The sequence below is a fragment of the Homo sapiens genome, chromosome 6 (assembly GCF_000001405.40).
Source record: "Homo sapiens chromosome 6, GRCh38.p14 Primary Assembly".
NCBI classification, from domain to species: Eukaryota; Metazoa; Chordata; class Mammalia; order Primates; family Hominidae; genus Homo; species Homo sapiens.
In genome coordinates, this window is record NC_000006.12 from 42367074 (window position 1) to 42384941 (window position 17868).

The 17868-nt window shown below is 47.7% G+C and overlaps 1 protein-coding gene across 52 annotated transcripts in view, besides 1 other annotated feature; it reads right to left on the reverse strand.

Moving 5' to 3' along the window:
- The window catches only part of TRERF1 (transcriptional regulating factor 1), a 227294-nt gene that overhangs the window by 142143 nt on the left and 67283 nt on the right, over nucleotides 1-17868 (reverse strand). The window lies entirely within an intron of this gene.
- Nucleotides 903-992: an enhancer, noted in NCBI's record as "active region_24550". NCBI's record gives its function as "activates an Ori minimal core promoter by ATAC-STARR-seq in GM12878 lymphoblastoid cells {active_cell/tissue: GM12878}" and the evidence as "EXISTENCE:reporter gene assay evidence [ECO:0000049][PMID:35858748]".

Genomic DNA, 17868 nt, shown 5'->3' on the forward strand with positions numbered 1-17868 from the left:
GCCAGGTCAGCCTTCACCTCTTGGAGGCTGGCTCTGCATGAGTGACTGTGAGGCCTAAATAAAATTAAGTGTATAGAAGTATAATATCTAGCACAGGCCTGGCCTTACATAAGGGGCACACTCAGTGTTGCTCCCCTCCCCCTTTCCAGCCTTCAGACCTCACAGCTCTCTCCACTCTTACTAACAGAAACAAGCACAGAGGCCACAGAGCATTTCCCAGCAAGAAGGTTTGCAAAGAAGGATGGCAGAAGTCCGCAAAGAAACAAACAGGCCACCCCACTGCTGGTAAGAGAGAAGCACCGGACCTCGGTGAATGCCCGGGTTTCAAAACACACAAAGCTCCGAGCCTCTGATTGTACCTAAACAGGAAGTTTGTGACAAACTTAGAAAACACGCATGCACAATGGCAAGAGGCTGCACGCCACTGAGAAAAGATGAAATCCGGCCCTGCTGGGGGCTCTGTGTGGAGGAGAGGCGTGCAGAGCCAACACTCCCACCGCACCAAGATCTTCCTGGCTGTAGGGAGGCACCCTTACCCTGGGCTTCTCCTCACCCCAAGCATGGGAGGGATTTGGGCCAAAATGTGTGGAGCTGCTCTGGTTTCCAAAGCCAGGCTCTGCTCACCCCCTCCTGCTCTCTCTCCCACCCCTACCCACTCAGGCATCTAGGACATCAGGTACTCCCAACAGCTGGCAGGGGCCTGGTGACTGAGGTGTATAGCAGGGGACCATTTTTCAGCTGGGAGATCTTAGCACAGAAAGGGGAAGTGACACACAGAGGTCCCGCAGAGCTCCCATCCCCGATCTGATCTCCATCTGGCTGCCCGGCCAGCGTCTGTATCATCGGGCCCTTTAGCATTCCACAATGGGGTCCTCAGCTGCCATCTCCTTCCACTTTGACACCCTGCCTGGCCCTAACATTTTTACTTGCATTGCTCACACCAGTATGGGGCTCGATAACTTCAGTTCACTTATCTGAAAGTGCAGGCAAATGTGGACACAATCTGTGTCTCATCTCAAGTAGAGGACAAACTTGGGAGATTGTTCACAATCTCCCAAGTGCCCGTGGAATGGGCCCTGCATCCAGGCAGTATACTTGGTGGCTGTGCTCCAGTAAATACTCGGTAGATTAATACACAACATCAATACCTTCCTATTGTACCTCCCCAACCAGGTTATGTCCCACTTGTCTCTGAGTCACCCTCAGCAAGGACAGGTCCCTCTACCCCTCCTGAGTGGAGGGCCCAGCTGTAAACTCAGTCTCCTGATGGTTGGCTCCTCGGCGCCCCCACACAGCACCTCCCGCAGTGGTTTCCTCGCCCCCCCAAGTTAGGTTCCTTTTTAAAAAAATGACTCATTTAGGAAGAGACAAAACCAAGAACTTCAATGGTAAAGATAAAACAGCAAGCACCAAGACTCTAAACACCTCCCACTCCATGTAGAATTTAGATCCGATAAAGCTTCCCCAAACTGGACCTCCTAATTTGGAACTTACGGTATACACAATTCTTCTAGCAAAGACACTTCCAGTAATGTCTCAATGTTTCAGCGTCTTCTTTACAAATAGAGATGGCCCCAGGACTCCAGGCAGTAGTTTTTTCAAAATGAGGGAATGAGAAATTAAAGATTAAAGTCCACGCTTTGGACTTCTGGGTCAAAAAAGTAATTATTTGATGTTTTACTACATTTATGATTCTAATTTATTGATTGCAGGACATAGGCATTATATCACAGGCCTAATGAGAATTATGGGGAGTTTTTTAGTTAAAAAATGACTTCTTGGTATGTAAGAAGTTTATGACATTTGTGCACAGTATCTGAAAGGAATGAAATTATATGATACAATACAGAGAATAGTAACATTTTAGGGCTAAAATGAGCAATTAAGATGACCCGAATCCAGGGGTTCCCAATGTTAGCTGCATTTCTGAAAAAAATTCCCAGGCTCCCCAAGATTCTGACACATTCAGTCTGGAGTGGGGCTCTGACATCAACTGTTTCCTTTTATAAGTTTCCCAGTGATTTTAATGTGCCTACAGGGTTGAGAACTGCTTATCTGCAGATAAGAAGGCTGGGATCTAAAAAAAACTGAGGAGGCCAGGCACGGTGGCTCACATCTATGATCCTAGCACTTTGGGAGGCCAAGGCGGGTGGATCACTTGAGGTCAAGAGCTCCAGACCAGCCTGGCCAACATGGTGAAACCCCGTCTCTACTAAAAATACAAAAGTTAGCCAGCATGGTGGCAGGTGCCACCCAGCTACTCAGGAAGCTGAGGCATGAGAATCGCTTGAACCTGGGAGGCAGAGGTTGCAATGAGCCAAGATCAAGCCACTGCACTCCAACCTGGGCAACAGAGCGAGACTCCAACTCAAAAAATATGAACAAACAAACAAACAAACTGAGGAGTCCAAAACTGCATAGTCAGTCAGACCCAAAACCAGAACTGAATCTAAAATCTGCACCCCCACCCAGTCCGGTTCTACACGTTTGCTCAGGTTTTTGGTATTCACAGATTTGCTAAAACTTTTTTTTTAAACAAACAAACAAAAGAGGGGACTAACTAGGGCTGCCAACTTTTGTTTTGTCAAGCAAAGGTATTTTACAAATATCTACCAGTTATCATACTATTACCACTTCCTGATGTGTCTCTTGTCTATTTGCATACCTGCTGCCCTCTCTGGCCCAGTCTCCACCCAGGAGGTAAAATTTCACAATATCTGGCCCCGCCCACTGTTGCATTCACCTTCACTCACCCTGCTCCTTATGACAAATCCAATCAAAACCCAGGCCTAAAAACTTCTCCGTCTCCTCCTTCTCTAACTCCAGTTTCTGAAAGTCTCTTCTGTAACCACAAACTACTTCCCAGTCCCTCTAAACCTACCCTTCACCTTCCTCCTGACCTCCACATGAAAACATCTGTACAAGCCATACTAACAGTTTTGCTATTCCACACACATTATCCCTTCTAAATGTCTCCCCTACCAACGATATACCAGCAACTATTCAAAGAGGCTGCCTCTGAGGAGCAGAATTAGGGGGTAAAGGATGGATGCAGGGGAAGGGGGGGTCTCTTTATACCCTACCATTCGAATTTGGGAAAGCATATATTCTTTTCAATGGACACAAATCACACATACACACATACACACAGCAGGTTACAAAATGCATCTCTGATTTGCTTCTGTATTTATAAAAACACAAAAAATTGTCTGGGAAGTATGCATGTCCAGGTTCTAAATGTAAACGATATCTGAGTGGTGGGATTATGGGTGACATTATTTTCACTTCCCTTTCCTCTTTGTTATCTTTGTTATGTTTTGTTTACATAACAAAGAAAAAATAATAGTTTAAAACCTGAACCAGAGCTGGGCATGGTGACACATGCCTATAGTCTCAGCTACTTGGGAGGCTAAGGCAAGGGAATCACTTGAGTGCCTGGGCAACATAGCAAGATCCCATCTCTTTAAACAAAAACCATGAACCAAGGCATTATCTGATGTCCGAAACCTACATAGTTTAAAAAGCAAAGGTACCAGAGCAGGTCACAGACTGGCATAGAGAATTATCTCTTTTCTGTAAAATGAAGGGTCTTCCCCAGCCAGGCCCTCCTGGCTTCTGTGCGTGGCCTGGGTCCTGAGTCTACCACTGGCATTGACCCCAAGTCAACCCTTGGCCCTGCCAGCCCCCAAGAACAGATGCAGAAGAAATGTCCTCACATAGGTATAAAGCCCCTTCCAGAGCCTCTCTGGCCTTCTGAGGTCACCCCCTATCAGCTCTCCCTGGCCCCTGAGGAGGATCCACTATCCTCTCCTGAGTGTCTCCTCTGAGCCCTGGTTTTCGCTGTTTTCCTCTATGTTTTTCCCAGGCTATGCTCCCCAAGGCTTTCTGAGTCTCTGCAAAGGGGAGCAGCCACATACAATCCAAGTAACCCTCAGGCCCACAACCTGTAAATCAGGAGCCCAGAAACTCTTTAGATGGAGTGCAAACGGTGGGATTCTCCACAGTCCCCACGGCTCCCTAATGTTTTACAAGGCAGTGAAGAGGGGTGGCGGAGTGCTCTAGGCAGCAAGAACAGAACTGAGAGTTCAAAGGCCTGGAGGTCAGAGGGTAGGTGATGTGTTCAGGGAAGTAAAAGGCATTCAGGATAACTGGAGTGTCTCTGAGCACGTCCAAGGCCTAGCAGAGAGAAAACTCTAAGGAAACTTACCAAAATTCACAAGGGCCAGCAAAGAAGGGCCTAAACAAAGAACTCTCAACCTTTCATCTGCTGTGTCTCCTTCCAAATGCTTCCTCACTTGATCTACCCTTCCAGTGTCTAGGAGGATCTAGGCCAACAGGAGTGGGTGGCAAAATAGGAATAGAGAAAAAAGAAATGAGATTAAGCAGCCCCACACAGGAGGCAGACTGAGGTCCTCCCAATGTAGCGGTTCCCGAGGCCAAGAGACCTGATGCTCAACCCCCTCCTTGGCATCAGCTCCAAAGGCAAAGGACATTTGCAATGTATCCAAACTTCTGGGGCTCTCGAGGTAGCTTTTTAAAGAACTTTGAGACTTCAAGAGTGCCAAAACACAGATTGGCATGCTCAACCAGATGCATCTGTGACCTGTGTGAGGCCTTCTGGGGAACCCTACAGAGCTGGACTAGCATTCAGCCCCTGTCCTATAAGAAAGAAGCCATTGGCAATTCTGTCTCCTTAAATGTCCCCCCACATTGTGCTTGTATATGGCAAGCTCATCTGCTCAGGGGGAAATCTTGCCCTGTAGCAGCACTGTTCTGTTTAAGTAGGAGGTATGTGCCTGTTTTCCCTCCCTCAAAATCTCAACTAAGGCTGGGCGCAGTGGCTCATCCCTGTAATCTCAGCATTTTGGGAGGCCAAGGAGGGTGGATCACTTGAGGTCAGGAGTTCGAGATCAGCCTGGCCAACATGGTGAAACCCCGTCTCTACTAAAAATACAAAAATTAGCCGGGCATGGTGGCAGGTGCCTGTAATCCCAGCTACTCAGGAGGCTGAGGCATGAGAATCACTTGAACCCAGAAGCCAGAGGTTGCAGTGAGCCGAGATCAAGCCACTGCACTCCAGCCTGGGTGACAGAGCAAAATTCAGTCTCAAAAAACAAAAACAAAAACAAAAACCCCTCAACTAGACTGTAAGCTCCTACTAGAGTCAGCTCTAGCTTCTGTTCTTCATTTGCCTTAAAGAAAGTCCTCCCTGTTGGCTTTTGTTGAGCTCTTACTAACCAAGTAGAAAGCCAGTTCTCAAACCCATCAGCTCCTACATGAGGCTTCTGTCCAACAGCTACGGCTCTCACTGGGCTACAGGGACAGTTCTTTCCAATGGAGTTCCTTCAGGCCTCAGAGTGGCAATGGCTTCCCCCCACAGGACCATTCCCCTGTGACCACTTAGAGTCCAGTCTCTGGGTGCTGTATCCTCCCAGTCAGTTCCCTTCCCCCTAACTAACTTAAAGTCTCTTCAACTAAACCTTTTGAGTGAAAGAAAACTCACGACCTAGGATTCGCACCTAAGAAAGCTGGATTCTCATTGGAGACTTTGGAGATGCGCACACTCAAAACAGCCAGACAACATCCCAAGGGATGGCAGAGAATCGCCTGCCACTGATGCCTAATAGAGAGATGGAGAGGGATGAGAAGGTCTCAGAGGAAGTGAGATCTGAGTTGGGTCTCAAAAAATGGGTTCAATGGGGTCAACTGGAGAGGAAGTAGGAAGACCATCCCAAGCAGTGGGCCAGCACACACGTGGCACTGACCACAGGGTGGGTGGGGCCCCACTACGGAGGAATGAGACCCTGAGTCAGGCAAAGGGTAAGAGTGTGTGTTCGGGAGTCACGTCAGAATTGGTCTGAGCTCAACTCTACCTCTGGCTAGCTGAGCAACTGGGTAGCTTGCTAACCTCTCTCAGCTCCACATTTTTCCTCAGTAACAGGATGAAGACAAGGATAATCAGGGTACCCATGCTATGGTTGTTGTAAAGATTTAATGAGAGGATGCACATAAAATGCTGTCAATAAATATAATTTGTTATTCTTGCTACAGTCAAAATACCAGTGGCCATCCTGCTGGTGTGGCCGGGGCACTTTCTTCTTTCTAACAGCCACAGTGTTGTGAAGAAGGGAGCACTGGTGGACTGGGCACATCCTGAGTCACCTAAGAAGGGGAAGAGGCTGGGTGCGGTGGCTCACGCCTGTAATCCTAGCACTTTGGGAGGCCCAGGTGGGTGGATCACCTGAGGTGGGGAGTTCAAGACCAGCCTGACCAACATGGAGAAATCCTGTCTCTACTAAAAATACAAAATTAGGCTGGGCACGGTGGCTCACACCTGCAATCCCAGCACTTTGGGAGGCCAAGGCGGGTGGATCATGGGGTCAGGAGATCGAGACCATCCTGGCAAACACAGTGAAACCCCGTCTCTATTAAAAATACAAAAAATTAGCTGGGTGTGGTGGCGGGCACCTGTAGTCCCAGCTACTCGGGAGGCTAAGGCAGGAGAATGTCATGAACCCCAGAGGCGGAGCTTGCAGTGAGCCGAGATGGCGCCACTGCACTCCAGCCTGGGCAACAGAGTGAGACTCCGTCTAAAAAAACAAAAAAAATTAGCCAGGCGTGGTGGCACATGCCTGTAATCCCAGCTACTCAGGGGGCTGAGTCAGGAGAATCGCTTGAACCTGGGAGGCAGAGGTTGCGGTGAGCCAAGATTGCACCATTGCATTCCAGCCTGGGCAACAAGAGCAAAAAAAAAAAAGAAGAAGAAAGAAAAGAAAAAAGGCCGGGCGTGGTGGCTCACGTCTGTAATCCCAGCACTTTGGGAGGCCAAGGTGGGCAGACCGTGAGGTCAGGAGATTGAGACCATCCTGGCCGACATGGTGAAACCCTGTCTCTACTAAAAATACAAAAATTAGCTGGGCGTGGTGGCACGTGCTTGTAATCCCAGCTACTCAGGAGGCTGAGGCAGGAGAATTGCTTGAACCAGGGAGTCGGAGGTTGCAGTGAGCCGAGATGGCACCATAGCCCTCCAGCCTGGCAACAAAGTGAGACTCTGTCTTTTTTTTAAAAAAAAAAAAAAAGAAGAAGAAGAAGAAGAAGAAGAAGAAGGGGAAGAGCCTGCTAAGCCTTAGAATGCCCAGGCAGCCGGGGGCGGGTGTGTGCAGCTTGCCCCTACACACTCTGTTCTCTGCCCTTCCTGGACCACTGGCTATATCAGCTGGGCTCTCTGGGCTTCCAGCTGGATTTAGTTAAAGTGAGAGCATTTATTCCCCCTTCCTCCTCTTCACCACAGTTTGACAGTGGTTGTGTCTCGTCACCATCACAGCTGTTGTCGAGGCCCTTTCTACCCATCCCTGGGGCTCCTTCCTTCTGGCCGAGGGGAGGTAATAGCTTCCCACTGTTGTCAGCTCTGGGGAGCCTCACCAGCCTTAGATGGTTTCCCTCACCATGCCCACACATCTGTAAATAGTCCTCTCCAGTTAAACCCTCTGTGTGTACCAGTCATTTCCTGCCAGAGCTCTGACTGACAGAGCAAGACCTACATCCACCTACCAGATAGATGGGGCTGAGAGGACAGCCCGGTCCTACCCTCACCCCCTACCATCTCCTCAGAGGTAGAAATGTGAACGGCAGTGTTTAAGACATAAGCACCTGGCCAGGTGTGGTGGCTCACACCTGCAATCCCAGCACTTTGGGAGGCTGACATGGGTGGATTGCCTGAGCTAAGGAGTTCGAGGCCACTCTGGGCAACATGGTAAAACCCTGTCTCTACTAAAAAAATACAAAAAATTAGCCGGGTGTGGTGGCGTGCACCTGTGGTCCCAGCTATTCAGGAGGCTGAAGCATGAGAATTGCTTGAACCTGGGAGATGGAGGTTGTAGTGAGCCAAGGTTGCACCACTCCAGCCTGGGCAACAGAGCAAGATTCTGTCAAAAAAAAAAAAAAAAAAAAAGACATAAGCACCAATGTGTTTTGCCCAAAAGTAATTATACGGGAAATTAACACCCCTGGAAGCTGGAAGAAACCCAGGAAGCTCAGGGTAAAGCGACTGTCCCAGCCCAGGCAGGGCCTTCTGTGTTCTTCCAAGTCCATCACACAATGGGGCGCCAACAAAGTCACAGGCTCTAGATGGGTGCCTGGCATATGGTAGGCACTTCATAAACACCTGTTCATGAAGATGCCTTCTGGCTGAAGATGCAAGCCCGAAATCCAAGAGATCCTGCAGAATTGGATACTCCATGAAAGCCACCGCTCTGTGGAGCAGCTCCGGAGCCACCCTTTGCTCATCATCCCATGCACATGAAGCTCAGAGGAGCCTCTTCTTTATCCACACAAATGCTAGTTCCTCCTCTCTTAGCAAGAAATGCCTGAGGCTGACAGCTGTCTCGTCACCTCTCTTGCTGATTTCGCTGCTCCTCATGCCCTCACAGGGCCAAACACAGCCTTGGTTTTGTGCAGTCCAAAAGCATTTATTAAGTGTCTACTATGTCCAAGCACCATGCCAGGCACTAAAGTTCCAAAGGCGATTAAGACAAAAGTCTCAGGGTCCAGGGACCACGAAGAACATGAAGGAGGAAGGCTACACACTGACTGACTAAAGAGGATTCTCAAAGATGGGTGAAGAAGCCTGAACTAAACTGGTCTTGAAGACTGCGGCTGTGATTACTATGGGGGGCTGTGATCACGATCACTATGGGGAAGGAGAGGGAAGGTGCAGGAGGTGTAAAGAGGGAAGTGGGAGCCTGGAGAACCCCTGGACAAGGGCAAGCAGAAGTGAACTTCACAGGGGCCAGAGCAGATAAGAACCAGGCAAGGGGCTTGTCTCAAATGGGGCCCCCTTGATTCAAAAACCAAGCACATTAAACAGAAGAAATGAAACCCGATTAGAAGCTGTCTCCTCCTGGCAGCCTCACAAGTCACAATGTCCCCCCTTTAGGAAATGTGAAGGCGGTGTGGCTGGGTCTGGGGGAAACTGCTTGTCCTGAAGGGGATGTTTCTCGGCCTACCACTCACCACCAAGCTCCCCAGATGTTGGGGTCAGCCCAATCAGTGTGAAGGGGGCCTGGCCACCCCCAGTTCCAGGGCACTGAGCACTCCCACCCCAAACAAAATAAAAACCTTTCACACATGCTTGCTCTTACTTGGAATTCTAAAATTAAACGTTCATTCCTCTCACCTAAAAGGTTTCTCCTTTTATAAGCTAATATGCAAATGCCTTGGAGAGGCTAAGTCTTAGCAGCCACATATCCGCTTAGCATGAATGCTTCCAGAGGATCGTTCCTGGAAAACAGGCTTTGCGTGAGGGATGTCTGAGAGATGATCTGTGGCTGGGGTAGGGGAGAGACAGGAGTAAGAGGGAGATGCACATGGAAGGCAGAAGGCTGCTCCTGTGCTGAATCAACACCCAGAAGGGCAGAGGGGAGAGGGTTAAATGTTGAAACCTTCATGACTTTTCGTCTAATTCTTTTTTTTTTTTTTTTTTTTTTTTTGAGACAGAGTCTCACTCTGTCGCCAGGCTGGAGTACAGTGGCGTGATCTCAGCTCACTGCAACGTCTGCCTCTCGGGTTCAAGCGATTCTCCTTTCTCAGCCTCCCGAGTAGCTGGGACTACAGGCACATACCACCACGCCCAGCTAATTTTTGTATTTTTAGTAGAGACGGGGTTTCACCATGTTGGCCTGGATGGTCTCAATCTCTTGACCTTATGATTTGCCCACCTCAGCCTCCCAAAGTGCTGGGATTACAGGCGTGAGCCACCGCACCTGGCCTCCTCTAGCTAACTTTTAAAAAATAAAAACAATTTTTTTTTTGAGACAGAGTTTTGCTCTTGTCACCCAGGCTGGAGTGCAGTGGCGCGATCTGAGCTTACTGCAACATCTGCCTCCCGGGTTCAAGCGATTCTCCTTCCTCAGCCTCCCAAGTAGCTGGAATTACAGGTGTGAGCCACCATGACCGGCTAATTTTTGTATTTTTAGTAGAGACGGGGTTTCACCACGTCAGTCAGGCTGATCTCAAACTCCTGACCTTAGGTGATCCACCTGTCTCGGCCTCCCAAAGTGCTGGAATTACAGGCGTGAGCCACTGTGCCAGGCCTAAAAATAAAAATTTAATTAGCATACCAAAAACTTCACTCTTTTTTAAAGTGTACAATTCACTGATTTTTAGGATAGTCACAAGGTGGTACAACTACTACTATGACTACTTTATTTCAGGGCATTCTCATCATCCCAAAGAAACCCCGTACCCATTCGCAGTCACTCTCTTTTCCTCTCTTCTCCTGACAGCTGCTTTCTATCTCTACAGATTTGCCCATTCCGGACATTTCCTATAAATGGGATTGTACACCATATGGCCTTTTGTGACTGGCTTCTTTCACTCAGCATAATGTCTTCAAGGTTCATCCATGTTGTAGCATGTATCAGTACTCCAACTGCTTTTATGGATGAATAACATTCCATTGTATGGATATAACACATTTCATTTATCCATGAAAATACTTTGTAAAGGACAGAACAAATGATGCTGTCAGCATCCGTGGGGCTGCTTGGGCAGTATGAACATTTATAAATCATCCTTCTCTGCCCCTTCTACCAGGACTCATGGGCACTGTCCAAACCCTCCCTACCCAGTTGTACGGATTTTCCAAACGCACAGTGGCTCAGGATAGCAGCCCTGAATCTCACAGGCCATGATAGAAATAACTCAAATTCCTTCCGAGGGAATGTTCAGTGCCTCTCAAATTGTGTTATATACATCTCCATGGTTGGTCCTGGTAACCTAAGATGGAAGTGGCAAGGGCAGCACTGGCTTTAGGAACATGCAGCCCGTGCGGTCTCACAGGACCCCATGCTTGCTGAAGGTGCTCTTGTCACCATCTTGAAAGTCTTAATGATTTTTAATCAAGAGGCCTCACATTTTCATTTGCACTGAGCTCAGTAAATTATGTAACTAGTTCTGGGTAAGAGGCAAGGGATTGGGAAGGGGGAAGAATTTGGTGATCTTCCCAAAGCTAGTGGGACTATTACTGCTGTGTTATAACAGCTCATTGGCCAGGTTGAGGGGCAGGTGAGGGGTTGAAGGGAGGTGGAGATAAGCGGATGAGGGGTACCAGCTTCCAAAGAAAGCCCAAGACCATATCTTCCTACGCTGAGGGCTGAACACTTGGCTGATAAGGCCTCCCCAAAACAGCCAGACTAGCTGAAAGCAAACTTGATAAGTCGAGGCGATACAGGCTCAGACTGTCAAGCAGAGGGAACTCAAACTGAAACTTGTTTGATCTTGTGATTGCTTATAGGTTGAGACCAAGAAGAAAAAAGAAAAAAAAAAAACCCACATTTACTAAAGTAACCGGCACTGAGAAAACTTTTTAAATATTTACTTTTTTAAACTGTCACCTTTATTTTCAGCATATCAAGAAAGTCATGGTTTCATCAAAAAGCTGATATTCAATCCAAAGAGGGCAGAATTTCAAATGCAGAGGTCTACATGGATTTCAGTACTAGAAGGGACCTTGGGAACAACCTAGATCACTGGCCCTTGTCTGTCAGAGGCAAAGACCCCCGAAGCCCATCTGCATGGATCCCTAGGAGAGTCGATGCCTAGTCCAATTCTTATTTTATACATGAGGAAGCTGAGGCTGAGAGAGGGGAAGTAACTGTCCAAGGCTACCCACAAAAAAGGGGCAGGACCTAAACCTGGGAGCTTTCAGCTTCCCCTCCCAACCTCCCAATTTTATGAACACAACCAAAATTTATATATTGTAGGCTGGGCCGGTGGCTCATACCTCTAATCCCAGCACTTTGGGAGGCCAAGGCAGGCAGATTGCTTGAGTCCAGGAGTTCAAGACTAGCCTGGACAACATAGTAAGACACTGTCTCTACTAAAAATTTAAAAAAAAATAGGCAGGCATGGTGGCATGCACCTGTAGTCCCAAGCTACGCAGGAGGCTGAGGTGGGAGGATCAATTGAGCCCAGCAGGTAGAGTCTGCAGTAAGCCGTGATGGCACCACTGCACTCCAGCCTGGGTGACAGAGTGAGGGCTTGTCTCAAAAAAAAATTTTTTTAATATATTTTGTGTGTACCACCCCCCACAGTCTTTCCCTGGGTCCTCAGCTCATCTTCTAGTACCTGTCTTTTCCTTGCCAGAAAAGGGAGTCTAGGCATGGTAGGTACAAGGGCCACGCAGGATGAATGGAGCTCAGGAAATGTTGCCAGCCTACCATGCCAAAGAGATGGATCCACATGGCCAATGGAAAGCAATGGAGTCTCCACCACCCCAGCCCACTGTGTCCTTTTCCTATAGAGGAGACTAACCAAATCAAACCATCCTTAAAACCAAGGGCCTGGAGGCCTTTCATTTCCATTTGTGTTTATCTTTCCTTCCTCCCCTCCCTCCCACCTTTGCTCCCTTCCTTCTTTCAACAGATAGATACTGGGCACTTACTATATGTCAGGCATGTATTATTTATTTATTTACTTGACAGAGTTTCGCTCTGTCACCCAGGCTGGAGTGCAGTGGCGCAATCACAGCTCACTGCAGCCTTGACTTTCCAGGCATCAACAATCCTCCCACCTCAGCCTCCCAAGCAGCTGGGACCACAGGCGTGTGCTACCACACTTGGATAATTTTTGTATTTTTGGTAGAGACAGAGTTTCGCCATGTTGCCCATGCTGGTCTTGAAATCCTGAGCCCAAGCGATCCACCCACTTTGGCTTCCCAAAGTGCTGGGATGACATGGGATTACAGGTGTGAGCCATCACGCCCAGCCTGTGCCAGGCATGTTGTAGGTTCTGGGGACAGAGTAGTGAACAAAACAGAACAAGTTTTGGTGTTTACGTTCCACAGGGAGGAGACAAAGAAAGAGTTAAATAAATATCTATATGCCATGCCAGACGGTGATAAAGGCTCTAGAGAAAAGGAATACAGGAGGAGAGGGATCGAGAATGGTGAGGAAGGAGGGCATTTTATCTACGACGGTTGGGGCAGAGGTCTCTGGGGGAAGAGTGGAGTCAGCCATGCAGATACCTGGGGGAAGATATTCCAGGCAAAGGATCAGCAAGTGCAAAGGCCCCGAGGTGGGAATCTCAGGAACAACCAGGAGTCCAGTGTGGTAACAGTGAGGAGGAGGGGACAGGTTAGCAATGTGAGGGGTGGGTGGGGGTGGTGGGAGCCAGGGCAGACAGGCCCTGAGGCCACAGCTAGGCCCTTGGCCTTTTCTCTGGGGGAGATGGAGCATGCAGGGCTCTGAGCCAGGGAACAACTGACCTGACCAAGCCTTAACAGGACTTCCCCGACCACTGCTATTACCAGGCAGCCTGTGTGGGGCATGCCAATGAGAGGACTAGACTCAGGAGCCAGGCTGAAGCCCAGCATAGCCTCTAAGCAGTGTGTGATGCTGATAAAAACCCTTCCCTTCTCTGGACCTCCATATTCTCCTCTGTGACATGAGGTCAGGCTAGATGATACTTTATGTCTTTTCTTCAAAAGTCTTATGATTGCCCAAAGAGTCTAAATGTCTCACTCTCTGACTTGAGAGAAAGTAGGGAACAGCAGCCAAGTTCAAGAAGCCCCCAGCAATTCCCCACCGCCTGCCCCACCTTATAGCAATTTCTCACTCCCCAAAGGGCATGGCTCTCTAGGGAAAAAGGTCCAACCCAGGAAACAGCCACGTCAGCAATGTCCTCTAAAGATTACAAAGGGCAACCACTAAAGATAGCACAGCCTTTGCACGGGCTCCAGGGTGGGGTTGGGCCCACAGAGGGGCCACATCAGCAGGCACCACTACATCTCTTCTGCCCAGGCTGCCACACTCTCCCTCCTGCCTCCTCCACTTCTGTCCTGGGAGAAAGAAAGTTAGGGGTTTAAGAATGGAAACATCCATTTCCATGAGGATTCTCTTTGTATCACACATCATCAAACTGAGTCAGAAAGCAAGACTCAAATATCTTCCATCAGGCTGGATAAGCAGGGTTTGTCTCTCCCCCATCAGACTGGGAGGTCCTGGAGAACATGAACTGTTGCACCATCAGACTGAATTCATCCTGCACCTCCTTCTATGCCTTTCCCCTCAGACAGGGGCTTCCTGAGGACAGAGGCTGTGTCTCCCTAACAGATTGGGAGTCCCTGATGGCAGGGGCTGTGCTGCCCCCATTGGACTACAAGCTCCCCGGAGACAGGGTTTATCTGCCTCTTTCCCTCTGTCACCTCAATGCATCCCATAAGGCGTCTCAGTATTTGGTGGTTCCTTAAAACAAGGCGCTGGTTGAACCAGCGCCTTGTTTTAAGGAACCACCCAGGGATTGGACCACCCACCCAGGCATAATAGCCTGTGATCCCTAGCCATTAACCTATCTGAATATGAAGCTCCATGCTGAATGAAAAGAAATTAAAAATCAGCTTCACCTAACGACTTCCTAGTAAGGCTGTTTATAGGGTAGGACCAAAGGCTGTCCTCATTTTATAAATAGCCCTTTCTGGTGACTGTGGTGAGGCTGAGCTGAAATGCACCTTGAGGACCAAGAGCAGGGAGCCCACCAGCCCAGCCGTGATTGAAGCTGGGTTCTACAACCATCTTCTCAGCTTTCAGGATAAGAAGCCCATCTCAGAGAGGCAGGGCCACTCCTCCCTCAACGGAGGAGGGAAGGGTGGATGAGAAGGCAGGGGAAGTGGCTCAGCACAAGCTTCAGCACCTCCTGGGAGAAGCAGAGCCCACCCCAGACTTGGGGAGAAGTATTCAAGCACAGGAGGGCTCAGGGAGGCCATCAGAGGCTCCCCTGGAATCTAGTGTGCTGGCTGTTCTTGGCAAAGGGTTTCCACAGGACTGAAGAGGAGGGGCAAGAAGGCTGGAACTGCCAATGGCTGAAACCAATAATAATAATAATCACAATTATAATAGCTAACACTTAATGGCACTATTGTAAGCACTTTCCCATACTCAGTTAATCCTCATTACAGTGCTAATAGTATTCCCATTTTACAGACAAGGCAACTGAGGCCTGCCCAAAATAATGAACAGGTGAGGAGTGAGGAGTGAAGATTTCAACCCTTCAGTGTGGTTCCCAAGTGTGGTACCCAAATCCTTGGGTGTTTCTACGGTTCCTCGGAGTCTCCAGGGTTGGACATGGAAGGCCACCCAGGGATGGGCATCCTGACGGCACAGGAGACTCATAGCACAACAGGGTCTCACCATGTGGGGAGCACGGACACACTGAAAATGCCACCTGATGCATCAATGACCCTTTCAGACCCTTCCAGCCTCAGGTTAAAACATTTTATCTCCCGTGTCTAGAGTATCCTTAAGAGAAAGAGTGATTCTCTTAGCAAAATCCTTCTCAAAGACGTGATTAAAAAAAAAAAAAAGCTGCCAAGCAGAAGGCAGTAGGGTGGAACCAGTGGTCACTGACAGGTCTCACCTCTCACAATCTGAAAAGTTAGGACACAGGGTACTGACTTATTTTAAAAACAGTGTGCTGGTTGCACTTTCAACTAAAATTCTCCATGTTTTTCCTAGGCCTCCACACCTTTTCAGGTGAAGTTTTTCTGAATGCAAATCAGTGAGTCCCACTGTGCCATAAAAGAGTGTCCAAAATGTCTGAAAACAGAAGGAAACAGTGGATTCGTGCAGCTTTTTTTTTCATATTAACAACCAGACCCCATTTTGCTTTACATCAGGGCTTTCATGTCTTGAACGTGGGATTTGGGGCTAAAATAGGAAGCTTTCCTCTGCACTGAAGGATGTTTAGTAGCATCCCTGGCCTCCACCCACTACATGCCAGTAGGATTCTCCTTCCTCTCCATCTCCCAGGACACAACAACTGAAATGTCTCCAGACATTGCCAAGTGCCTCTTGGGGCTTGGGGGGTGGGGTGGGTGTGGGGCAAAATCACTCCCAGTTGAGAACCACTGCTTTGTGTTTAGATAAACATCTGAAAAGTTGTCTGGAGGTTGGGGCAAAAAACATATTGATAGCAAGACCCTGGCTCTCCAAAAAATAAAACAATTAGCTGAGTGTGGTGGTGCACAGCTGTAGTCCCAGCTACTAGGGAGACTGAGGTAGGAGGATTGCTTTAGCTCAGGAGGTCAAGGCTACAGTGAGCTGAGATTCTGTCACTGCACTCCACTGCACTCCAGCCTGGGTGACCGAGTGAGACCTTGTCTTGAAAAACAAAAACAAAAACATATTGAGCATAGTTTTGAAAATGTAACTCACATACTGTTTACATCCAAATGTATCCTATTTCTCCTGACTTCTGGGACACTGTGTATTTGAAAATCTCCAGTGTCACTATCATGCCTCTTTCCTATGAAGCTGCCTAAATGCAAACACTCCGTGCTCTGGATACCCCCTAACACCCCCTTCCTCCTCCCAACCCTGGCTTTCCTAGTCTCATTTGTGTCCATCTCCCCACCAACCCTTCCTCACGTGTTCAACCCACCAGGAGGCACTTGCTCTCCATATGAGTCAGACTGTTCCCCGCTCCGACGAGCATTGTAGGGGTGAGGACCAGAAACCACCAAGCTTGGAGCCCCCAGCAGCCTCCAATGCAGCAATGGCCACACCCAAGAAAATGGACTCGTTTTCATCACCAGAGAGTTGATCCATCCCACTCACCAAAGCCTCATTTGAATGCACAGGCTGCCCCAGTCCCCAGAGTGGGCTACACAAAATACAGAAATGGGTCAAAGAGATACCAAATCTAAAAGACTTGGAAAGACCAACAACTCAACAGAAACATGGACAGACTATGAATCAAAAGAAAATACAAATGAATCCTAAACTTGTGAAAAGATGTTCAACCATACTCATAAAAGAAATACAAATTAAAACTGAGATACCAATTTTCATCCATCAGATTGGCAAAGATAAAAAAGTCTGATAACTTACTGGTAACTCATCAATGAATGAGACATCCTCACCACTGTGTTGGTGAGGATGTCTCATTCATTGATGGTTTCGGTGTAAATTGCTACAACCTCCTTGAAAGGATACTTAGTATGTCTATCAGTATCACAAATGTAGAGATGCTTTTACCAGTAATTCCACTTCTAGGAATTTATCCTACAGACATACTCCTATATATGCAAAAACATACACAAGGATACTCACTGCAGTATGATTTATGACAAAGGATTGGAAGTAACTACAATATCCACCATTTGGAGGGTTGCTTTAATAACTTATGATTCTTCTGTAAAATGGAATGTTATGCAGCTATAAAAAAGAATAAAGGAAAAAATGTTTTATAAGAATGAGGGCATCCTCTATGTCATAATATGGAATAATTTTCAATGTATATTGCTAGGTAAGACAAGCAAGCCACAGAATAACATGAATAGTATGCCAACAGTTGTTGAAAAATAGTACATATTCATATACACATTTATATGCATAGATTATCTTTGAAAAGATACCCCAAAAGCTAATAAAAGTGGTTACCTATTGAGAGGAAAAATGGGTAGCTGGGGGCAGAAAGAATTATTTAACCCACTTTAGACTCTTCATAACTTGCAAATTTTATATCATGTACACACCTCAACTATTAAATCAATCAATAGGAAGCAAGCAAAAAGAAAAAGTTTCTAAGTAACTGATCTAGTTCTACCACCACCATGTGTGCATGCATGCAACACGCATTATAGTCAGCTACAATTTTAAATCCTCTATTCCTATAAGTACCCATACGCATCAGTTCAAATGTCTCAGGGTTTTATTTTTATTTGTTCATTTTGTCTTTTGGGTTTTTTTTTTTCAAGACAGGGTCTCACTGTGTCGCCCAGGCTGGAGTGCAGTGGCACGATCTCAGCTCACTGCAGCCTCGACCTCCTGGGTTCAAGCAATTCTCCCACTTCAGCTTCTTGAGTAGCTGGGA